Source organism: Homo sapiens, chromosome 1 (assembly GCF_000001405.40).
Source record: "Homo sapiens chromosome 1, GRCh38.p14 Primary Assembly".
Classification (NCBI taxonomy): Eukaryota; Metazoa; Chordata; class Mammalia; order Primates; family Hominidae; genus Homo; species Homo sapiens.
The window spans coordinates 98,347,424-98,371,674 of NC_000001.11; the positions used below are offsets into that span (position 1 = coordinate 98,347,424).

General features: G+C 40.0%; 1 annotated feature.

Moving 5' to 3' along the window:
- Nucleotides 3,645-4,844: an enhancer, noted in NCBI's record as "MED14-independent group 3 enhancer chr1:98816624-98817823 (GRCh37/hg19 assembly coordinates)". NCBI's record gives its function as "activates an origin of replication core promoter dependent on BRD2, BRD4, P300/CBP and CDK7 cofactors, and independent of MED14, by STARR-seq in HCT116 cells {active_cell/tissue: HCT116}" and the evidence as "EXISTENCE:reporter gene assay evidence [ECO:0000049][PMID:35650434]".

Sequence of the window (24,251 nt, forward strand, 5' to 3'; positions counted from 1 at the left end):
TTTTAGACTGGAAATTTATAGTTATTTTATGCTGGTATCTCTACTTGGAAAACCTACTCCATTTAAATACCTTCTTAATTCAGATTATGGCATCCCAGCAAATAGCTGTGATTTAGCCCTGAACTTGTGGAAATTTGCCTATTTTATGGTCGGAAGCTAATGTTGGGAAACCCCCTATTTCCTGTTTTAAGAATGAATTAACATTTAAGTTCATTGAAAATGATAATTTGTCAGAACTCTGAATTCTTCATGTGAAATGAAGTCTAAGAAAATATGTATCTATAATTAATTGTATGCATTCTAGCACTTATAGGTTTGCTAAAACAATGCATACAATCCATTTATTTTTCTTAACTATGATTGTTCTGAGTTATCTTCCAGGATAGGCCTATTGACTGTGATGCTGGGAACCTTAGTTGACCTTTAGTCTACTTTTCCAGATGTGAAGAATGAAATAAGACAAACGTCTCCTTAACTATCCCCCAATCTGTTAACATTGGTATGTATGCTCCACTGCTTATCCCTGGGACATCCTCCTTTAACAGTCACCCTTTTGGTGATCCCATCCAGTCTCATGGATTTAAATGTCTTGTATAAGCTGTAAATTCCCAAATTTATATCTGTAGTTCTTCTCTCCTAAACTTTAGATTTCTCTCTCTCTCTCTCTTTTTTTTTTTTTTTTTTTTTTTTGAGACAGAGTCTTGCTCTGTCGCCAGGCTGGAGTGCAGCGGCACGATCTTGGCTCACTGCAACCTCTGCCTCTTGGGTTCAAGTGATTCTCCTGCCTCAGCCTCCCAAGTAGCTGGGACTACAAGTGCAAACCACCAAGCCCAGGTAATTTTTGTATTTTTAGTAGAGATGGGGTTTCACCATGTTGGCCAGGATGATCTTGATCTCTTGACCTCATGATCCACCAGCCTCGGTCTCCCAAAGTGCTGGGATTACAGGTGTGAGCCACTGCAACTGGCCAACTTCAGATTTCTATATCCAATTTCTTAGCCTACATTTCCACTTTAAGGATAAATAAGCATCTCCACTCAACTTGTTCAAAATAGTACTCTTTATATCCCTCCTCAAACCTGATTCAAAGTCTTCCTCCATTTCTTAATGGCAACAGCAACCTCCCTGTTGTTTAGATCAAAAAATCTTACAGTCATTTTGACCCTTACATTTCCTTCATGCCCACGTCCAGTTTCTCAGCAAATCGTCCTGGCTCTACTTTGAAATGTATCCAGAATGTAATGATGTCTCAGCATCCTCTAGCTAGCAACTTGTTCTAAGTTACCAGTATTGCCTACCTGAATTATTTAATGGCCTCCTAACTGTTCTATGGGCTTCTACTCTTGCATTTGTTTTAGTCTATTTTCAACTCTGTAGCTAGAGTGAGTGCGTTAAAATGTAAAAGCAGAATATGCCACTTTTCAGATCAAAACCTTAAATAAATTTCTTACTCTAGAGTGAAATACAAAGCCTTTATATAGGGTGCAAGATTGTGTGATCTTCCCTTCCTTCATTACTTTCATGAATTCACCTCCTAATGCTCTCCTTATTTACTGTAGCCACAAAAATTTCTGCTCCATGTACATGCCAGCTGAACTTCTACATCTACTTGAAATGCTCCTGAGTGGCTCTCTCCCTAAGCACATTCAGGTCTATCCAAATATCACCTTCTCAATAGTCCTCCGTGACCATCCTTGAAATCTCACTTCTCACATTTCCTATCCCTTTCCTCAGTTTTATTTTGCTTTTTGGCACTAGTCTCTTTAATTATATTATAGAATTTAGTATAGATTTTTCTTAGTTTCTGACTTACCATTCTTAAGATGTAGGTTTCATAAGGGATGCAATTTTTGTCTATTTTATTCACTACTGTATCTCCAACACCAAGAATAATGTCTGGCCACATCATAAGCACACAATCAATAAACCATTGGTTTAATCAACCAAGGGAAATAAATCAGCCAAACAATAGCATAACATTAGATATATCATTGCACATTTATTATATTATATTGATGTCAACATTTAAATAGTGTTGTAAATAGCCAACTATCCATCAACATTTCTGTTCTTCTGTTCATGGTATAGGATCTTCATTATAGACTCTTTACTGTACATTTGTTGCTATAATGCTGCTACCCAATCAGGAATTATAATCTCCAGTCCTCTCCCCACCCTTGTATTTGGTTATGGCCAAATAATAAGTTATCAATGGATTTTGGATGTGTCACTTCTAGGTCAGAGGTTTTAAAAGGCATGCATGCCTTCTCCTTATTTCCTTTCCTCTTCTTCTTTCTTCCTATGTGAGACCACTATGTAGAGTGAGAAATACACTTTTACTACATTTTTATGATGTTTTCCAGTTGCAGTTCATTATTATTTATGTAGGTAGGGATATCTCTTTAGTGGGAGGAGGTTTCAGTTTGAAGGTTATGGGCCATTTCTCTTCTTCTTGCAGGGGTAATGGGGAAAAATAAGCAGAGAGAAATTTGGGGACCAATAATGAGATAATGTGAACTATGGAATATGACTGCCAAAAGCAGCACCTCTTTCTTGGTTATGAATTTTTACTTGTCTCATGTCTGTCTTGAAGAAGTGTGAAGAAAGAAGAGAGATAACAAGTGTATGATCTGAAAAGGGGTGTCTGTATGTTAGGTAACCATTGCTGAAAGATAAAACCAAGAAAACCAATTAGGTCTCTAAGCTTTAGAGAAAAAAGGTCTTGTCCAAAGATTTAATAATTCTAACTTTAGCTCCTAGTGCCTTCCTTTCCTTATTGATCTCTCATAGTGTCAGGCTCAGTTTCTTTAACAGTCACCCTAGCAACCCTCTGTCCCAGCAGATCTAAGAATTCTCTTTATGTTTTACACATAACTTAGTTGGGGAAAACAAGGCAGCTGGGATTCCTAACATGAAGAAATTTTATTTTATAAGGGCTAGTTCCACTCTTTAGAACAAAGATATTGGACTGAAGATGGAGGTCAATAAAAATTGTAACCTGCTTGTAAAATCACTGCTGCTCTTTGGGGTTTCCAAACATCTTGCTGTAGTACAGGCATTAGAAAGTGCACTGACAACAGTGTTTCTGCTATCTTCATTATATTTTGTTCATTGTATATGCCATAATATTTGCCAAGGTTATTATCGATTTTGAATTTCATGAAATAAGAAGGGAAAAGTAAGTTGGGGTTTGGGGAGTGCAGGGAAAGGGTTTCAACTAAGTCTGTAAGTCAATTGTAGTAATTTTAAAGTAATATCCAAGAGAATCCAAGGAGAAATTGGTAAAGCAGTTGAAATACTCTGGGTAATATTGTGTAGTATAATAATAAAAAAGAAAATAAAATGAAATATTGTTCCATAGAACTTAATTTATGAGATGAAAACTTAAATCCAAGTCAAATGCCTGAAAATATAAAAGCGTAACCAAGACTAGAAAAAAAAGAGTAAGTACTGCAATTTCTCCACAATTAGAAAACCAAGATGATCTATTATTTTTCATTTTCCAGAATTGATAACATGCAGAGATTATGCAGCACTAGCCATTTTTAAAAAACGGATAAGTAGTCCTTTTTGTTTATAAATGAGTTATTTAGTAATTGTGGAGACATAATTTGATATCTAAGGTAAATATGGAGGTCATTGTGTGCTACATTCATTCTTTGTTTCATTTCCCTACTAAATGCCAGTAGGATCTGAATTAGGAAAAATGAGGACCTGAACATTTTACCCCCTTACATAGTCTTGTTATCTCTCTCAAGTTTAATTTGTAAAATATAATCCTAATTTTGGGGGGGAGGGGGTTTTTGTAACTGTGAAATATGGCATACATAGATGTAAAATAATTAGTAAAAAAAATTGGAGAAATGAAAAATAGAAAAATAGAGGGTTTGAGAGGCAAAGTTTCATTGGCAATTTGATTTTGCATAAATCTGGACTCAAGTCCGGTTTATCAGCTAATTGATCTTGGTAAGTTACTTGCCATCTGTAAGCCATAATTTGTCATAATGAACTGGATCATAATATGTTATAAATATAAGATTATATATATTAAGTATTTATTATAGAGCTTTGTGACCAATTTAAATTATTGCTATTTCCATGATTAATATGATCAAAAGTAAAATAGAAAGAGAAAAATATTTTGCACCTCTTTGTATATAGATGCCTGTTTTCAAGTTTGAAAAGACCAGAATCAGACTGGGTGTGGTGACTCACACCTATAATCCCAGCCTTTGGAAGTCTGAAGCAGGAGGATTGCTTGAGCCCAGGAGTTTGAGACCTGCGTGGGCAACAGAGTGAGACTTTCTCTACAAAAATGACAAAAATTTTCTGGGCATGATGGCACATGCCTGTACTTCCAGCTATGTATGACTGAGGTGGGAGGATCGCTTGAGCCCAGGAGTTCGAGACCAGAAGCAGATGCGTTTCCTCGTACTCTTCTCTCTCCTTTGTTCTGCACATTTATCACTTCCCCCATTTCCTGTCAAACTCTTAAACATTATGATAAACAACTCTAAGGGTCATCATAGTTCATTTCTGCTCTTTGAATTACATGTACATCGATTGAGTTGCTGAAATTATATTTCATCGTTTTAATATGCACCTTCTTCTCTATTCTTAAATCCTCAACAAATTTCCAGACCATTGCATCTCTTTGATACTAATCTTGATTTTGCTCAGTTTGAAACACCACAGTGGGAATTGCCTTAGGTCCTCTGCACATGTATTATTCCTGTATTCAAAATTATTCAGAGGTTCGTCGTGTGAAGTCAAAACTCCTCATGAGAACACGAAAGCTCTCAAGGTGTTATATTTAGTTTTCATGTTTTATTTTTATTCTTCCAAGGTCATCTTGGTTAATTAGTTTATTTAGCCTGCTTCCATGGGTGTGGAATCTTAGATTGTTATTCTTCTTTCTTCCCTTAACTACTTCATTTTCTTCTACCCCTTTACATCAATCTTCTGTAATAACCATGCTCATTGCGCCGCCTCTCCAGACTAGATGGAATCTCTTTTTAATGATGAGTCTTTGTAACACTCTTGTCATGAAATCATGCTCAAATTCTTTTTTTAGAAGAATTTCAATCAAAGTTTGCCATCTGGTCAATCTTACGTTGTACAGAGCTGACTAATGTAGTGTAACAAATACAGTAGTGCTTACTAAATATTCCATGTGCTCCCCTAGTTTTCCCAGCATCCCTTGTAATTAGGTTGAAGTTGGATGATGAATTCTGGCTGGGAGTGGAAGTGGGCATGACTTAGGTCTGAGGTGCTTAGAAGCAGGTCCTAGAGGCCATAATTTGGAATGGCAGCATCAGACAGTTGTAATAAGGTCAGTCTGGGTCCCCTAGTGGCCCCCTGACCATCCACCAGAGCTGTACATATAGCTCACTGTGTAAAATGTCTGAGACCTCAGAGTAAATATATTTCTCGAGCATATCCCAGCTTATCTTGACTAATATCTTTGGTTAATTAGGCCCAACAGTAATTAATAGGACAAAGTCAGCAATATAGGCCGCAGTGTGCAACAGCTGACTGTAGACTTGCATTCCTCAAATAGTAAAATTGTTTCTAGAAATGGTGCTTTTTATATCAACAGGGTCAGAGAAAATGTTAATAAAAGTGATGATAATCATACACAGATATTACGTTGCCATGCACAGCATGGCAATAATGAAATGGTGCTATTGATGGCTTTTGGCATTTGCAATTTTAAGGTAAATAAAAATGCATTGGCTAATGTCTGTCTCATCTATTTATTAATACAATAATAAATTGTGTGTAAGTTTTATTTTTTCATACCATAGTTTGGGGTTTTTCACATTGAACCTAAGTTCTGAATAAAAATGTGTGATTTGCAGATGCCACTGTACCATTTTCATCTTTTAGTGTGCTGCCTACTTTTCACTTTAGAAAAAAAAAAAATGAAATCAACTCTCTTTTCTTTGATTCTTCAGGCTTAATTGGAATGGAGCACTCATGCTCAAATTAAGGGGCTTTCACTTAACTATTCTGCTTCATTTAAGAAAAAAAAAAGGCCTTGTTAGCTAAGCTAAGACATGGTATTTGTGAATCCATAACTAGCAAAGCATCCATCACACAGCTGCAAAACACAATAGGTATTTTGGTATAGTTATATCTGTCTTAGGGATCTGCAGTGTGTGAAAAGAAGAGGCAAAAATAGGGCCCGCTAAATAAAAACCAGCCTTTGGCTGACTACACCTTTCCTTCGTTTCTTACCTTTCACACCCACTAATTACCTCCCAGAAATTTGGTCAATGAGAAAAACCCCACCAGATATCCAAAACTACAATCACTTTAAGTAGTTCTGTCCGCCAGATTCACAAAATATACCTGGTTAACATGGAAACATTTATTTACTTAGGAAAGAATATATCTGAAACTGAGAACAATTGTATAATTTTGACCAAGTGTCTAACAGTACATCAGGACAATTTTGTATTGTTTTCTATCCCAGTAGCACATATTTTGGAAAATGCTTAAAGGAAATGCTCTGGTTATGATTTTTAAAGGTAGATATTTGTTGCAAACATGAAGGAGGGACCATTGTAAACCTGGTCAAGCAGTGTGCTGGATTATCTCTGTCTAAGTAAACTCTGTTCTCAAGTAGATGTGTTTATGGTTATTTTATAGTGGAAAGAGCTTCTAGCCTCTTAGAAAGTCATCCTATCCTGATATATAAGTGCCATCCTTGACACCTTGTTCTCCCTCATGCCTCATATGTAATCCAGTCTATCCCCTACACATTTAAAAAATTTATATGCATAAACCCAGCACTTTGGGAGGCCAAGGCAGGTGGATCATTTGAGGTCAGGAGTTCAAGACCAGCCTGGCCAACATGGTGAAATCCTGTCTCTACTAAAAATATGAAAATTAGCCGGGCATGGTGGCATGGGCCTGTAATCCCAGCACTTTGAGTGGCAGAGATGGGTGGATCATCTGAGGTCAGAAGTTCGAGACCAGCCTGGCCAACATTGTAAAACCCTGTCTCTACTAAAAATACAAAAATTAGCTGGGCAGCAGTGGCACGCACCTCTAATCCCAGCTACTTGGGAGGCTGAGGCAGGAGCATCGCTTGAGCCTGGGAGGTGGAGGTTGCATTGAGTCGAGACTGGACCACAGTACTACAGTCTGGATGACAGAGTGAGACTCTTTCTCATAATAATAATAATAATAATAATAATAATAATAATAATAAATAAAATTTATACACATCTTTCCACCATATTCATCAGTTCATCTCACCTGGATGCTGGCAACAGCTCCTTGACTGATAAAAAGCATTCTGACTTGCCTCTGATCCAGTCTCCAAATTGCAATCAAGCAAGTATCATTGCACCACAACACACTTAAAACCTCACAATGGCTTTTGATTCCTTTTAAAATAAAGTAAAAATGCCTTTAATGAGCCTAAAACACAGTCTAACCCCTATACATATCTAACATTGTCTCTACTCAAGTCTTGCTCTCACTCTTCACTCCAGCCAAATTGGCCATGTTATATTATCTTTTGTCCTCTCCATACTTCTTTATATCACAGAGCCTTTGTACATGCTGTTACCTCTGTCTGGAGTTCTAGCTTCTTTTGCCACTCCTACACCCCTAAACAACCACAATGTTCACATACCTCATTTAATTAATTCTCACTCATGCTTGAGAACCCAGTTTAGTCATTTCTTTCTCATTGAACATACTGCAAACTATGTTTCTTGTATGCCACTAATTACAGTTGCAATTTTACACTTCTTGTTATGAATAATTGATTAATGAGTATCTCTAAACTCTATATTACATAAGGGTAGATCCTCCTTACTTTTTCATTTAATAATTGCACATAGCAGGTATTCAATAAATTCATGTTGAATGAGTTAATGAGTTAATCTTTAGAAATAAGGCTCAGCTTGCTTATCTGCAAACCTCTCAAGTCTGTTATAGGAATAAATGAAATATTGTTCATAAAGTACTTACCACTGTTCTTCTCAATAAACTCTAGTTATGATACAAATAAAAATAAGATGACCACTTATAATTTCCTCCCTTTTTAAATAGCAGCAGAGAGTCACTCTATAGAGACAATGATTGTTTTCTCTTTTTTTTGTTGAAGTTTTAGTGAGCTAATAAGTAACTCCCTACTATCCGACAGAATTCTGAGGTAGACAGAGAGAAAAGGCAGGTGGAAATAAAATGATCAGCGTTATTACTGATAAAACAGATACAGGAGAATGTAGCTAAAGTTTAAGGCAATGACACAGCTCCTAAAGCCAGCCTCAGAAAGAGGCTGACATCCCAACTAGACAACTGCAGGCCTCCCTGCGTCTGCAGGGGCAGGGCCTCATCAGCAAGCTTACTGTGTGGCACCAAGCCGACCAGAGAACATGCTTTCTGCAAACAGACAGATCACAAAACATGGGGAAGTGACTGAGCCACATGTATCAAGTTTCCTCATCCAACTTTACCAGTCACATAAATCATTCCTCTTTCCATGGAGATGAGTAAATGAGAAAGTTGGGAGAAAGGAAAAAATTATGACTTTAATGGAAATCCTTCCACATAAAAAGAGACATCAGGAATGGGGACTAAGTATTACATTTCTTACCTTAATGTATTATATTAGATACAGTGTTGTGCACTTTCTTAGAGTCCCTCAGCTGTCTTTATCTTTTAAAAAATTGTTTCACTGGAACAGAGTTGGCTTTCACCCTTCAGACTTGAATAAAAGCAGTGACTCAGACATTTGTAAGACCTAGAGCCCTGAGGGTTAAGCCTTGGCTATTGGAAAACAAGAATTGGGCGGGAAACAGGTGGGTATCTCCTTCCTTTCTCCCATGTGTGAACTGCTCTTGGGTGTAGTTTTTCCTTGTCAGCTCTGTGAAGAAGTCTTGCATGATGAAGAAATAATACATGTTGAGTGACTGCTGTGGTCTTCACAGCTCCTTGACAAACGATGGCCATAGTGATGCATCAAATCACGTTGCTATGGCATTTTCCTTGCTTCATTTTCCCATTTTTTTCTTCATCCTCAACACTTTCAGTCAGCACTTTCCAAACCCAATATCAGCACTTGGAATACTTGCCCCTGACTTTACTATCTGGAAGAACTATCATAAAACATACATGTTACTTGAAATGAAATTTTATACTGGAGTTCTTTATTTTACAAAAACATTATGGGTGTATAATAGTAATATATATTTATGGAGGACATGTGATGTTTTGATACAGGCATATAATATGTAGTAATCAAATCAGAATAATTGGGGTATCCATCACCCCAAGACTATATTATTTATTTGTGTTAGGAACATTCTGATTCCACTCTTTTACTTATTTTTAAATATATTTTTACCAGAGGCTGGGAAGGAACTCTTAGAGGGAGGTATGAAGTAGGGATGGTCAATGGGTACAGAAATACAGTTAGAGAGAATGAATAAGATCTAGTATTAGTAGCACAATAGGGTGACTATCACTAGAGTTCTTTTTTAAAGTCTTTGTATATACGTGAGAGATTGCCAGTTGTTTTCCCCATTATCTATTCTCCCCTTCCTCTGTATTAATAGGACATTAGCTGAGATCATTTCCCAGGCTCCTTTTAAATTAGTTGTGGCCAATGGAATGTGAACAAAAAAAAATGATATTTAGAACTATAGATTCCTATACTTTAAAATGAGTGTAGATTTGTATACCTCCCCTTTCCTCTTGCTCTCCCCCCATCAGCTAGAATTTTAATATGATGCCTGAGCTGGATAAGCCCTCTTAGATAAGAAGGTAGGAGCCCAGTATGAAGGATCTTAGAACCAGAATGAAGGAACCTGGGTCCCAACTCCATGGAGTGAACTGTCAGTGAGACATAGACTGTTAACACACAGACTGCTAAGTGAAAGAAAGAAACTTTACTTAGTTTAAATCAATCATTTTGACCACATTAGAGCAGCCTAACTCATAGCTAGTCCCAGATGTATACATTATAATTCTTTTAAAATTGTTTATTAGAGACAAACCATGCTGCTGCTGCTTACCCTCTTCCTCCTCCTCCTCTTCCCCCCTCCTTCTCCTCCTCCTCCTTTTTCCTCCTCCTACTCCTTTTTCTTCTTCTATTTATTTCTTTCTTATTTCTTCTTCCTCTTTCTCTTCCCCTTCTCCTTCTTCTTCTTTTCTTTCTTCTTTTTTTTTTGAGATGGAGTCTCGCTCTGTCCCCCAGGCTGGAGTGCAGTGGCGCGATCTCAGCTCACTGCAAGCTCCTCCTCTCGGGTTCACGCCATTCTCCTGCCTGGGCCTCCCCAGTAGGTGGGACTACAGGTGCCTGCCACCACACCCAGCTAATTTTGTTTTTGTATTTTTAGTAGAGATGGGGTTTCACCATGTTAGTCTGGATGGCCTTGATCTCCTGACCTCGTGATCTGCCCGCCTCGGCCTCCCAAAGTGCTGGGATTACAGGTGTGAGGCAACGCACCTGGCCTCTTTCTTTTTTCTTCTTCCTCTTTCTTCTCCTCCTCTTTTTCCTCCTCCTCCTCCTTCTTTATAATTCTAACCCATGGAGCTGAATATAAGCATTCAGAAGATGGTGAAGCAAAGTTCTTTCACAGACAACATTTCCAAGAAACTTGCTCAAAGCTCTTGCTCACAGGAATGTTAGCAGTCACCAGAAACTGGAAGAGACAGGGAAAAAATTATCCCCCAATGTCTTCAGAGGGAGCGTGGCCCTGTGGACACTTTGATTTCTACCCAGTAATGCTGATTTTAGACTTCCAGCCTCCACAGTTATGTAACAGTAAACCTCTGTTGTCTTTAAAGCAATAAAAAAAAGTTCTCACTCAAGAAATATTTCTAAGCCAGTTCATATGCTGCAGAGAAAAGGCTGAGTGAGCTGACTGGCAATAGGACATGGACCAGGCTTGATGAGATCCTTCTGATTGTAATAATTAAGGCTGTAAGCTGTGAAGATGAAGTGGTGTTTTCATTGTGGAGAAAAACATGGTCATGGTTTCCATAGTATGGGTACAACTGAAAGGGTAAGAAGAACAAATCGAGGAAAAGGAAAATCTCATCCACTAGGATGAAGCAATTTGCTCATGACCTACATACGGAACATGCAGGATTTGTAGGGAGTAATCAGAAAAGCATTTTTCATTTTCTCTATCAGTAACCCTTTAAATGTCCTCGGTGTGGGTTGTCCTCCCAAGATAGAAACTTGAGCAATCTTATAAGTTTTCCAGTAATATCCAGGTAATAAAAAGCCCTGTTGTCTGAGAACACATGGACATAGGAAGGGGAACAATACACAATGGGGTATGTCTTGGATTGGGGACCGGGGGGAAGGAAAAGCATCAGGACAAGCTAATGGATGTGGAGCTTAATACCTAGGTGATGGATTGATACGTGCGGCAAACCACCATGGCACACATTTACCTATGTAACAAGCCTGCACATACTGCACATGTATCCCACAACTTAAAATGAAAAAAAAAATTGTTTTAAAAGCCCTATTGTCTTTTTAAGTACAGTCTCAATTTAATAATTACAAAGTGTCTAGCCTGATACTTTAACCAACATTTTAATTTTAATCCCCCTCTCCCCGAGCTGGGACAGACTAAGGTAGGCTGCTGACCTTCTCATTGATTCTCTCACCTCAGCCTCTCTCACTAGCTGTTCTCTCCTCCAACATGGGTATGGAGTTGGAGCAGGAAAATACTTTACTAGTGAGACATGACAAAGATTCCTTGCTTGACCAAACTTTAGTCAGGCTCATGATTAAAACTTCTCGTAGGTCCATCTGTGCACTTTTTTGTAAAATCCACTTTTAGCAAGAACCCTGCTAAGTCATTTTAGCCAGAACCTTCTACCCTCCATATCTTATCACCCTAGAGATCTAGTCAGGTTCATCCCCCTCCACTATCCCCCAGGTGATATCTGATCACCCTGGCCTATCTTCTGCAAGAATCCTGTTACGTTAGTTTAGCCAGAATCCTCACTACCCCTAATGTTTCCTCTTAGAAATTTTCCATCCACTGACCCCTATCCTGTCCTCTGGCTGTAAATTCCCACTTGCCCAGTAGAATTGAGCACAGCTTTATACTGAGATCTCTGTTCCCATATTACAGTAATCCTGAATAAAATCTGTTTTTATCACTTTAACTACTATTTTTTCTTTGACAGAATTACCTTCCTAAATGACTTCATAATCTCTAAACTTGGCTGATATGTAATGTTCTCTCTCTCATGGAAACTTTTGTAATTCAACTGGAGGCTACCGTGGTGCCCTTCCCAATTGTGGCTCTATTAAGATGGCCAGTGCTTTTCCTATGGTGAGCTGTCCCCAGTCCACCTTTAGCAACTATTTCTGATAATACACATCACAGCTTATTACTTCTGGTGTCACTGTGTCCTGGAAAGCAACTTTCTAAGGTAGGCGCCCTTTTAATACAATTGAGGGTAAGTTTTCAGGATTTACCCTAGTACAGACAATAAATGTTTCTCCTCATCATCTTACTCTAGGATGAACTATTTCAAAAGAAATGTAATAAGTTCAGTAGTTTTTTGTTGATAAGTGAATGAATAAAAAGCTTGTTCTGCTATAATATAATCTTCCTGAACTCTGACCTTCTATTATATAATTTCTTTTTTAATCCATAAATCTAGTAATCTTTCTCCTGGTCCATTAATAAGACAATCAAACATCAACCAATTATCAAGTATATGTTCAGCATGGGCTATTTAGTATCATTTTCTAGATGTTTTAAAAAAACATAGAAGATGCAGGCTGGGCACAGTGGCTCAAGCATGTAATCTCAGCACTTTGGGAGGCAGAGGTGGGCAGATCACAAGGTCAAGAGTTCAAGACCATCCTGGCCAACATGGTGAAACCCTGTCTCTACTCAAAATACAAAAATTAGCTGGGCTTGGTGGTGTGTGCCTGTAGTCGCATCTACTCAGGAGGCTGGGGCCGGAGAATTGCTTTAACCTAGGAAGCAGAGGTTGCAGTGAGCCGAGAGTTGCGCCACTCCACTCCAGCCTGGAGACAGGGCAAGACTCTCTGTCAAAAAAAAAACATAGAAGATGCTTATATAGTGGATTACTGGCATAATTAATTTAAAATTTAGTTTGGCAACAAAGACTAACCAGAAAAGACAAATTAAGAACAACATTGTGTACAAAAGGTGTGGAATTCACTGTATACACAATAATCCTCAAAAGACACAAGGGAGCTGCTATTTTTCTTCAAGAACCCTAATTTTATCTTTTATCAGTTGACTTGCTCTCTTGCTCATACTCCTAAGTGTATAGTTATTTGTTAATTATACAGCATTCAGGTATGAAGACAGAATCAAAGAGTAAGAGAAAGACAAAGGAGAAAAAGAAAAGGAAGAAGAAGGAGGATTACAAGAAATAAGGGAAGAGGAAGGAGGAGTACATTAGGGAAAACTATTTATTGCCTGTCAAAACCTAAGTGCAGAATATGTGTGTGTGTCCATTCTCATGCTGCTACAAAGAACTGCCCAAGACTGGGCAATTTATAAAGGAAACAGGTTTAATTGGTTCCACTCTGCAAGGCTCGAGAGGCCTCAGGAAACTTACAGTCATGACAGAAGGGGAAGTAAATACCTTCTTCACATGATAGCAGGAAGGAGAAGAATGGGTGCCCAGTGAAGGGGGAGCCCCTTATAAAACCATAAGATCTTGTGAGAACTAACTCACTATCATGAGAAAAGGATAGAATCCCCCCTATCACCGCATGATTCAATTATCTCCACCTGGTCCCTCCCATGACACATGGGGATTATGAGAACTACAATTCAAGATGAGATTTGGGTGGGGACACAGCCAAACCATATAATTCTGCCCCTGGCCCCTTCCAAATCTCATATCTTCACAATTCAAAACACAATCATGCCTTCCCAACAGTCCCCCAAAGTCTTAACTCATTCCAGCATTAACCCAAAAGTCCAAGTCCAAAGTCTCCCCTGAGACAAGGCAAGTCCCTTCTGCCTATGAGCCTGTACAATCAAAAGCAGGTTAGTTACTTCCTAGATACAACGGGGGTACAGGCATTGGGTAAATGCACCCATTCCAAATGGGAGAAATTGGCCAAAATGAAGGGGTTACAGAACCTGTTTGTGTCTGAAATCCAATAAGGCAGTCATCAAACCTTAAAGTTACCAAATGGTCTCCTTTGATTCAATTTCTCATATCCAGGTCACACTGATGCAAGAGGTAGGCTCTCTGTGGCTTTTCAGGGTACAGCTCCCTTTCCAGCTGCCTTACAGGCTGGCATTGAGTGTCTGTGGCTTTTCTAGGTGCACGGTGTAAGCTGTTGGTGGATCTACCATTCTAGGGTCTGGAAGATGGTGGCCCTTTTCTCACAGCTCCACGAGACAGTGCCCCAGTGAAGACTGTGTGGGGACTCCAACCCCACACTTCCCTTCCCCACTGTGCTATCAGAGGTTCTCCATGAATGCTCTGCCCTGCAGCAAACTTCTGTCTGGACATCCAGGCATTTCCATACATCTCTGTAATCTAGGTGGAGGTTCCCAAACCTCAATTCTTGACTTCTGTGAACCTGCAGGCCCAAGGCCACATACAAACCACCAAGGCTTGGGGCTTGCATGCTCTGAAGTAATGACCTGATCTGTATGCTGGCCCCTTTTAGACATGGCTGGAGCTGAAGCATCTGGGATGCAGCCCATGAAACCATTTTTCCCTCCTAGGCCTTCAGGTCTCTGATGGGATGGGATGGCTGTGATGGTCTTTGACATGCCCTGGAGACATTTTCCACATTGTCTTGGTGATTAACATTCAGCTGTTTGTTACTTATGCAAATTTCTGCAGCAGGCTTGAATTTCTCCCCAGAAAATGGGTTTTTCTTTTCTATTGCTTCCTCAGTCTGCAAATTTTTCAGACTTTTATGCTTTTTCCTCTTGAACTCTTTGCCACTTAGAAATGTATTCTGCCATATGCCCTAAATCATCTCTCTCGAGTTCAAAATTTCACAGATCTCTAGGGCAGGGGCAAAATGCTCTCACTGCATAGCAAGAGTGACCTTTACTCCAGTTCCCAACAAGTTCTTTATCTCCATCTGAGACCACCTCAGCCTGGACTTCATTGTCCACATCATTATCAGCATTTTAGCCAAAGCCATTGAAGAAGTCTCTAGGAAGTTCCAAACCTTTCCACATATTCCTATCTTCTGATCCCTCCAAGACTCTCAGAAGTTCCAAACTTTCCCACATTTTCCTGTCTTCTTCTGAGCCCTCCAAACTGCTCCAACCTCTACCTGTTACCCAGTTCCAAAGTTGCTTGCACATTTTTCAGTATCCTTTATCAGCACCCCACTCTACCAGTACCAATTTACTGTCCTATTTCATTCTCATGCTGCTAATAAAGACATACCCAAGACTGCGTAGTTTATAAAGAAAAGAGGTTTAATTCACTCACATTTCTACAGGGCTGGGGAGGCCTCAAGAAACTTACAATCATGGTGGGAGAGGAAGTCAACACATCCTTATACACATGGCGGCAGGGAGAAGATTGAGAGCCGAGAGAAGGTGGAAGCCCCTTAGAAAACCATCAGATCTCATGAGAACTAGCTCATGAGAACAGGTTGGGAGAAACCACCCCCATGATTCAATTCTCTCCACCTGGTCCCTCCCACGACATGTGGGGATTATGGGAACTATAATTAAATATGAGATTTGGGTGGGGACACAGCCAAACCATATCAGTGTGTGTAAATTAAAGTCTCCAAAATAAGAATAAAGTGTTGTTTCAAGTTTCCACCATCTATAAGCATGGGATGAGATGCATTTTTAAGAACTTTCAAGTGAAGATCGTGAAGAGTAATTAATGTCCAAAATACATTCCCCAATCTCTGATTTTCTGTAATGATGATAAGAACATTATGGAAAATATTTTGTATAATTTTCTTTTGTTTTCCATAGAAACAGTAGTCCTTTTTGCCAACTGAGGCTCTGGTAACTGATTTCTTTCCACTAGCTGGGGCCAGAGGAAAGGTGACAGCGATCACCTCTCTGTCCATGTTCACTGACCTTTTTCTTCTGTATTCCTTATGTCTGCTATCACATCTCATGTAGGTTAAAGATTAGGCCTCCTCTGGAGTTTGGGTATTCATGAAGCCTACAAACATTTTAAAAAATGGTTAAGGGACATAGTGAAGAAACTTCTCAAAATTCCATTTTAAGGAAAGCATCATTTGTATAAACCACTTTGTTCTCGTACATTTAAGATTATTGTTTCTGAATTATTATATTCTACATATAAACATAATATGACTGCATGCTCCATGTCAAGGAATTTGGCGTGGCACTAAAGTAACTCACATGTCCAACTTTAACATCGGGATGTGCCTAGGGATGTGTTTAGTGCAGTGAGCAACCTATGACTCTCTTTTTTTCTTGAAATAACTATAGGAAGCTTTGAAAATGTGGCTCAGTGCAAAGAATAAATATTTTCTAAGAAATTTCCTGGTGAATAATGTTATTTATTATCTAGTTCTACAAGTTATATTACGGTGATTTCATAAGCCATTCTTTTAATTCTTACTGAGCAGGGAGTGGTTCAACTTTTACATTAAAATTTTCATGGTCAGCACTTCCTCACCTCCCTTTTTCCACTCTAAATCAAAGACAGGCAAGAGTTTTCCAAATCTTCTTTAAATTGCGATACAATGCAACTTTTAAAAACTTTCATTTATCTTTAATAATGTCACTTCCATTTTCTAGAAGTGTTGTGTCACCCAGGGTTACACAGCAATTAGTGGTAAAGTAAAAAGAAATCTGGAGTTCCTAAATATTTCCCTTCTTTAAGCAATTTCTTTTTCCAGAAAAAGAATGCCATGTAAAGTAGGAAACTTCTCTAATCAAATTGTTGAGAGAAGAAAAGGCGGAGAAAACAATTGAAAGATAGTGCTTAAATTTGGATATTCATTTTCTTTTGAATTTCATGCTGAGGGCTTTGAAGAGTTGGTTTGGCCTGTATATGTGGAGGTTTAATGAAAGCACACGCCCCAGTGGAACCCCAGTTCTCCAACACTAGGGAGATTTTTGGAAGAAAGGCATAAGAACGGAGGGTATTAAAATGCAGGTGAATGTGGGTAGAGCAGAAACCATTAATGAGATTTCACCTTCCTAGGACTTAAAGGCAACAAGCTCCTACTTTATTTCAAGCTATTCTTACTGTAAGCCATGTTAAAAACCAAGAATATTCTGCTAACAGCTCCTGGTGGTGTTTCAAAGAGGGAGGAAGTGACATTACATGATTGAGCAATCTCCCATGACTTCTTCCTTCTGATTTGTTGGGGAAGCATGAAAATGCATAGCGGTAGCATTTTCTTGTGTTGGACAGGGCTTAAAAAACTTCTCCTTTGTATGCTGGTTTCTATAACTTCCACATGAAAATGTTACTGTACCCATCTTTTTCTTCATCATATACATATGCACAGTGATATGGTTTGGCTATTTCCCCACCCAAATCTCATCTTGAATTCCCACCTGTTGTGGCAGAAACCCAGTGGGAAGTAATTGAATCATGGTGCAAGTCTTTCCTGTGCTGTTCTTGTGATAGTGAATAAGTCTCATGAGATCTGATGGTTTTAAAAAGAGGAGTTCCCTTGCAATAGTTTGCTGAGAATGATGGTTTCCAGCTTTATCCATGTCCCTACAAAGGACATGAACTCATCATTTTTTATGGCTGCATAGTATTCCATGGTGTATATGTGCCACATTTTCTTAATCCAGTCTATCATTGTTGGACATTTGGCTTGGTTCCAAGTCTTTGCTATTGTGAATAGTGCCACAATAAACATACATGTGCATGTGTCTTTATAGCAGCATGATTTATAATCCTTTGGGTATATACCCAGTAATGGGATGGCTGGATCAAATGGTATTTCTACTTTTAGATCCCTGAGGAATTGCCACACTGATTTCCACAATGGTTGAACTAGTTTACAGTCCCACCAGCAGTGTAAAAGTGTTCCTATTTCTCCACATCCTCTCCAGCACCTGTTGTTTCCTGACTTTTTAATGATCACCATTATAACTGGTGTGAGATGGTATCTCATTGTGGTTTTGATTTGCATTTCTCTGATGGCCAGTGATGATGAGCATTTTTTCATGTGTCTTTTGGCTGCATAAATGTCTTCTTTTGAGAAGTGTCTGTTAAAAAACCAAACACCACATGTTCTCACTCATAGGTGGGAATTGAACAATGAGAACACATGGACACAGGAAGGGGAACATCACACACCGGGGCCTGTTGTGGGGTGGGGGGAGGGAGGAGAGATAGCATTAGGAGATATACCTAATGTTAAATGACGAGTTAATGGGTACAGCACACCAACATGGCACATGTATACGTATGTAACAAACCTGCAGGTTGTGCGCATGTACATTAAAACTTAAAGTATAATAAAAAAAAAGAGGAATTCCCCTGCATAAGTTCTCTCTCTTTGCCTGCTGCCCATCATGTAAGATGTGAATTGCTCCTCTTTGCTTCCACCACGATCGTGAGGCTTCCACAGCCACATAGAGCTGTAAGTCCAATTAAGCCTCTTTCTTTTGCAAATTGCCCAGTCTTGGGTATGTCTTTATCAGCAGCATGAAAATAAACTAATACACACATGGACACACATATACACACACACACACACACACACACACACACACACACAATTTCCCTGAGAGTACAGTAAATGCTTCTTGGCAACTTCTTACCACAAACTTGGACCTGTCAGTTGATTTCTCTGCTTGTAACAGGAGCAACTCATTTTGGCTAACTTATGAGAAAGGGAGTATTTTTTAGGGATACTGGAAGCTCATAGAATCTATAGGAAGGCTAGAAATCCCAGGTGTGGGATTATTATGAGATCCTTGGGGTGTCTCCTCGCCAGGAGGAAACCTCTGTGGCTGGCGTTGCCTTCCACCTGAGTATTGCTCATGACCATTGGACTCATTCTGCCCACTCAGCCTGGCAGGCTGCACTCAGCTCACACTACTGGCCTGGATCCCACACCTGCCAAGAGAGAACCAGGCATGGAGCAGTAAGGGGTGTGTGGGTAAGTGAGCACAGGGTCTCGCCACTGTGCACAGCCAGGCACACCAGCTGCTGTGGCAGGGCAGGCAGCTCCAGGTGCAGGTACAGGTGCCGGCTTTATGCAAGCCTGAAGCTGGACCAGATGTACCACACACAGCTTCCACTGAGGGCACCTGTGTGTGGATGAGGGGAACACAGTTGGACCTGGAAGCTTGGAGATGTGGCCTGGGATTCCTGAAGGGTCACAGCTCTTCTCTCCTTCTCGTGGCCCATGATGTAGCAAGGAGAAGGGAGGCACATTTCAGCTCTGTCTGTGTTACAGCTCTTTCAGTCCAGCCATTTGGCAGGTCCAGAGTTCTTTTCTCGTGTCTAGAAAGAATGAGATATGTGAACAACTGGAGGGAAAGTAAGATGGAGAGGAGCTTCATTGAGCAATAGAACAGCCCTCAGGAGATCTGCAGTGGGTAGCTCCTCTCTGCAGGCACATAGTCCCAACGTCCACTCAAGTCTGGCTGAGTCCAGGCTTTTTATGTGCTCACAAGGGAAGAAGTGCATGCTGATTGGTCTGGGTGGCTGTGGGCAGGACAAGAAAAAGCACAGTAAGTTCTTACCCAAGGCCACAGACTCCATCCAGAACTGGCAGCCTGGCCCCCAGGCTTCAGGCTGTAACTGTGGCATGAAGGTGGGGCATCATGCTCCCCTTTCCACCCAGGAGCCTGTCTGTCACCTGCTGTCATCAACATGCCATCCACAGCACCTGCCCTGCCAAGGGACATCTACAGGCCGATGCTGAGCCGACCTCAGCCTCGCACCAGCCTCCCTCCTGTGTTTGTCTGTGTTCAAAGTCTGGAGGGGGCTGTGGTGGCAGGGCCTGGCATGTTAGCACTGCCCCAAGTGCATACACACCTGACCAGGTTCCAACAGTATTCAGGCTCAGCCACGACTTTGCTCTGCCTCAGAGCAGGCCCTGGGAGTGGGGCAAGGCCAGGGAGCAGGAGCCAGTACTTCCAAGCCTGTGGGGGAAGGGAGGCTTCCAGAGCCCTGAGAGCACAGGGATGCCCAGGTCCAGAGCTGTGGCTGGGAGGCTGCAGCTGTGCCCAGGGGCATGGGGCTCCTGGTGGTGCCCCTGTCAACTTGGTAGGGAGTGGGGCTCCCACGTGTTCCCCAACCCCACTGCCTCCACAAAGTACGCAGCCCTGGCCACTCCTCCCCCACTGCAGCCAGTGTCTTTGCAGCAGCTACTCCAGACGGGTGGCTGCTGCCATCAGGAGTGTACTGCAGGCATGGAGGTGTTTCCATGGTCTGTGAATCTGAGACTGTGGGAATGGGTTGCAAGGCCTGCTGATGGGGTGTGAGATGAATGGACCCTACTATCATTTCTATTTATGTGTCATGTACTCATGATTCACATTCTAAGCCAGAACTAGTGATTGGCCTAGGCTCGGTCAAGTGCCTCCTTCTAGGTTAAGACATGGCTGGACAGGACATCTGATTTTAGCCACACTGGAATCTGTCCAAAGGAAAGAAATGTTATTCCCCAGCAAAGAAATGGAAGTGCTAATTGGAAGGGAAAAAGTAAGCTAGGAAACCAAACATCAATGAAGTTTCAGCACACCAGACTGAGAAGGAAGAAGAGCGCAGAAGAGCAGGGCCCAAATCACCATAGGGTCAATGCAGCCATTCCTGTTGCCAGAGCTAGCACTCTCAATGGGGTGCTTGTGATTTGTACGGACACCTCTGATTTGTGACCATTGGGAACCAGTAAGCTTCTTGTTCCATTGCTCCAAGTCCTTTTGCCCAGCAATCTGCTGGGTTCTGTGGAATCTTCATTAGCTATCACCTTACAGAAAAGATCCTTAGGGTGCAGATGAGGCTGTGAAACCAGATCGTATGATAATTTTTGCCTTCTAAACTTTCTCTTGAACCGATGAGGACAACTGGGCTCCTCACGGCTTAAATATTCTGAAACCCTAGTATTAAAAATTGTAGGTAATGGCAAAATGCTCTGAAGCTTTCATTGAGGTATGTTTATGAGAAAGAATAATGTGCTTTTCATGTGAAAGCACAGTGATTTGAAGAAGGAAAAGGAATATAACCCGCAAAGCTTTAAAACTGAAACAGAGACTCTCTCAGCAATGTTTGTATAATTCATGTTGCAGGCATTTTGAGCTGCCTAATTGAACCATTTCAAAATGTCACGTAATCAATGATTTCTGAGTTGTGCAGAGATACAGAACATGCATACACATTTGGCAAAACTCGTCAAATTCTTAACCTATATTTCTGGAGGAAAAATAGGATTTCTGTATTGGAACTTTAAACTTTATCTCTTCCACATTCCCCTTTGTGAAATTTACTTTCTGATGAGGAGGATTATAGATTAATGTTTTCAATCCCTGTCTCACTTGAGACTTCGGAACTATATGTCTCTTGCTCTTTGTGGTGATTGTTGTGGCAATCTTCTCCTCAGCCTCATCTTCTCTTTAAGTCACATCATACTTCTTCCAAGCCAGTCAAAAATTGCCTTTCTATTTGAGCCTCTATCTTCCTGCTTTTTCTGCTTCCCCATTCCCGGAATCTATCTGAAGTTGCCTTCTTAAGTGGAATTCTTCACTGCTGATTGAGAAACAGCTTATCCTGGAAATTGTGAAGGTGATATACACTTTCTTACTGAAGTCCCACACTTAAACTCCTAGAAGCTAGAAATGCCAGAAAATGCTTACGGTCTGACAGAGAGGAAGGAGTTAATTATTGGCCAGGGCTGGACCTAGCCACATCTCATTAAAATGTCTGGTAATACGTTCAGAGCATCAAGGAGGAAATGAAAAGAAAACATCAGAAGGCTAAAGATGAAAGGAGAGCAATACAATAATAGGAGAGGGCTTCTAATTTCTCAACTGTTTTAAATTTTTCTTTAAAGAACCGACTTCTCTTCTGGTTTTAAGCCTTCTTTGTTGCAAAGCTATTAGTGTGCTGAGCCACAGTCACTCAGTGACAACAGCAATCAGAGTAGTATCGAGAAACATGATGCCAAATTGGATCTTGGCACATTGGTATCTTATTTCTCAAGCTTTGGACAAAGAACTGATATGACTTCAAAGGGGATAAACAGGAAGGTGCAAACTGGCTAGAATATATGTATATATATACATATGCTCACCACACAGTTATAAAATGAGGAGGGTACAGACAACCTCTAGCTTCCTGTTTTAGAAACTTGGTCTTTCTAGGTTTCTACTAGTTCTATGAATATACAGACTATTACATGGAGAGAAGGGATAGAAAACATATCACAATACAGAAAGAACATGCAGAAACCCATGCAGATGAAAGGCAGGAAGATCTTCAGGAAATAGCAAATTTTCCAGGTTGATTGCAACATAGAAGACTTAAAGGGGACTGTGGGAGAAAGTGAAAGATAATGCATAGAAGAAAAAAATAGAATCTACAAAAGAATAAAAGATCAAGAAATATAAGGGAAAAGTTTTTACCACCCTACTCCATGATACTGCGCTGAAGAATGAAATACACAATATACATGTACACGTGCACATACATATACAGATATCATTAGACTCTCACTAGATATATTCATATGAAGCACTTTAATAAATGAGGCACACTTGGCTGGGCACGGTGGCTCACGCTTGTAATCCCAGCACTTTGGGAGGCTGAGGTGAGTGGATCATGAGGTCAAGACATCGAGACCATCCTGGCCTACATGGTGAAACTCTGTCTCTACTGAAAAAATACAAAACTTAGCTTAGCTGGATGTGGTGGTGTGTGCCTGTAATCCCATCTACTCAGGAGGCTGAGGCAGGAAAATCGCTTGAACCAGGGTGTTGGAGGTTGCAGTGAGCCGAGATTACACCATTGCACTCCAGCCTGGCAACAGAGCAAGACTCCATCTCAGGAAAAAAAAAAAAAAAAAAAGGAGACACACTCTATCTAAATATAAGGTAGTATTAGAATTATTAGATAATTAGGCAACAGTGATCCATCAGAAGTTTCTTTTAAATAGGAGATGTAATGAAAGAGGGTGGGGCAATAATATTTAAATAGAAGTAGATGAATGTCATAAGATATATAAAGAGGATAGAGTTTTAATCTAGATCATGGCAAACTCTAGCCTACCAGTTAAATTCAGCCCACTGCCTATTTTTGTAAATAAATTGTTATTGCAACATGATCATGGCCATTTGTTTAGAAATTGTCTATGGCTGCTTCCACACTACAGTCTCAGAGTCAAATAGTTGCAAAAGAGACCATATGACCTGCAAAGTGTAAAATATTTACTATCTTGCCCTTTACAAAAAGTTTGCCCATCCCTGCTCTAGATGATCAGAATAATAAAATTAGGGAACACTTACTAATCACTCACCATGTGCCAGGCACTGTTTTAACATGTTACATAGCTAAGTACCTTAGGAAGGTAGGTACCATTATTGTAGCCATTCAACAAAAGGGCTCAGAAATTTGGCAAGCTTAGATGATTAATGGCATAATTCAGGATTTTGAAAATTAGTAAATAAAAATACAGGACACGCAGTTAAATTTGGATTTCAATAAACAATGAGTAATTTCTTAATATAAGTATGTCCCCTGCAATTTAGTGGAGCAATACAATAATTAGAGAGTACTTTTAATTTCTCTGCAATTTGGGGGCATACTTATACTAAAAATTATTTATTCTTTATCTAAAATTCAAATTTAACTGGACATCCTGTATTTGCATTAACTAGGCATCCAACAGACTCCAGAGTTGACTCTTAATAAGTTCTATAGTTTCTCTGCCTTAGAAGGGTAATGGAGATATTTGAATAGGAATGGGGAGTCTCACAGAGGAATGAGATGGACACAGGAAGTGTTTTCTGGCTAGTGAGTGATAGAGTTGGCTTTCTTCCTAGAGGCACCTTAAAGATTTAGCTTGGTTTTGAGTTGAGAAAGTTAAATAAGCTCTGAATTGGTTTCTGTGTGGTATTGTCCAAATTTAGGATCTGGTGCTCAGAGAGTAATTAAGACTAGGGACATAGATTAAGAATCACCTGAATGCAAGTGGCAATGAAAGTTGGATATAAATGCCAATTCTGAGGAATTCAGGGTAGGTGTTAACTTAAATCAGACCTAAAATATCCTTCCAGACGGGGCTAACCTGCTAGTATTCGGCAGAGCTTTCAAAATCCATT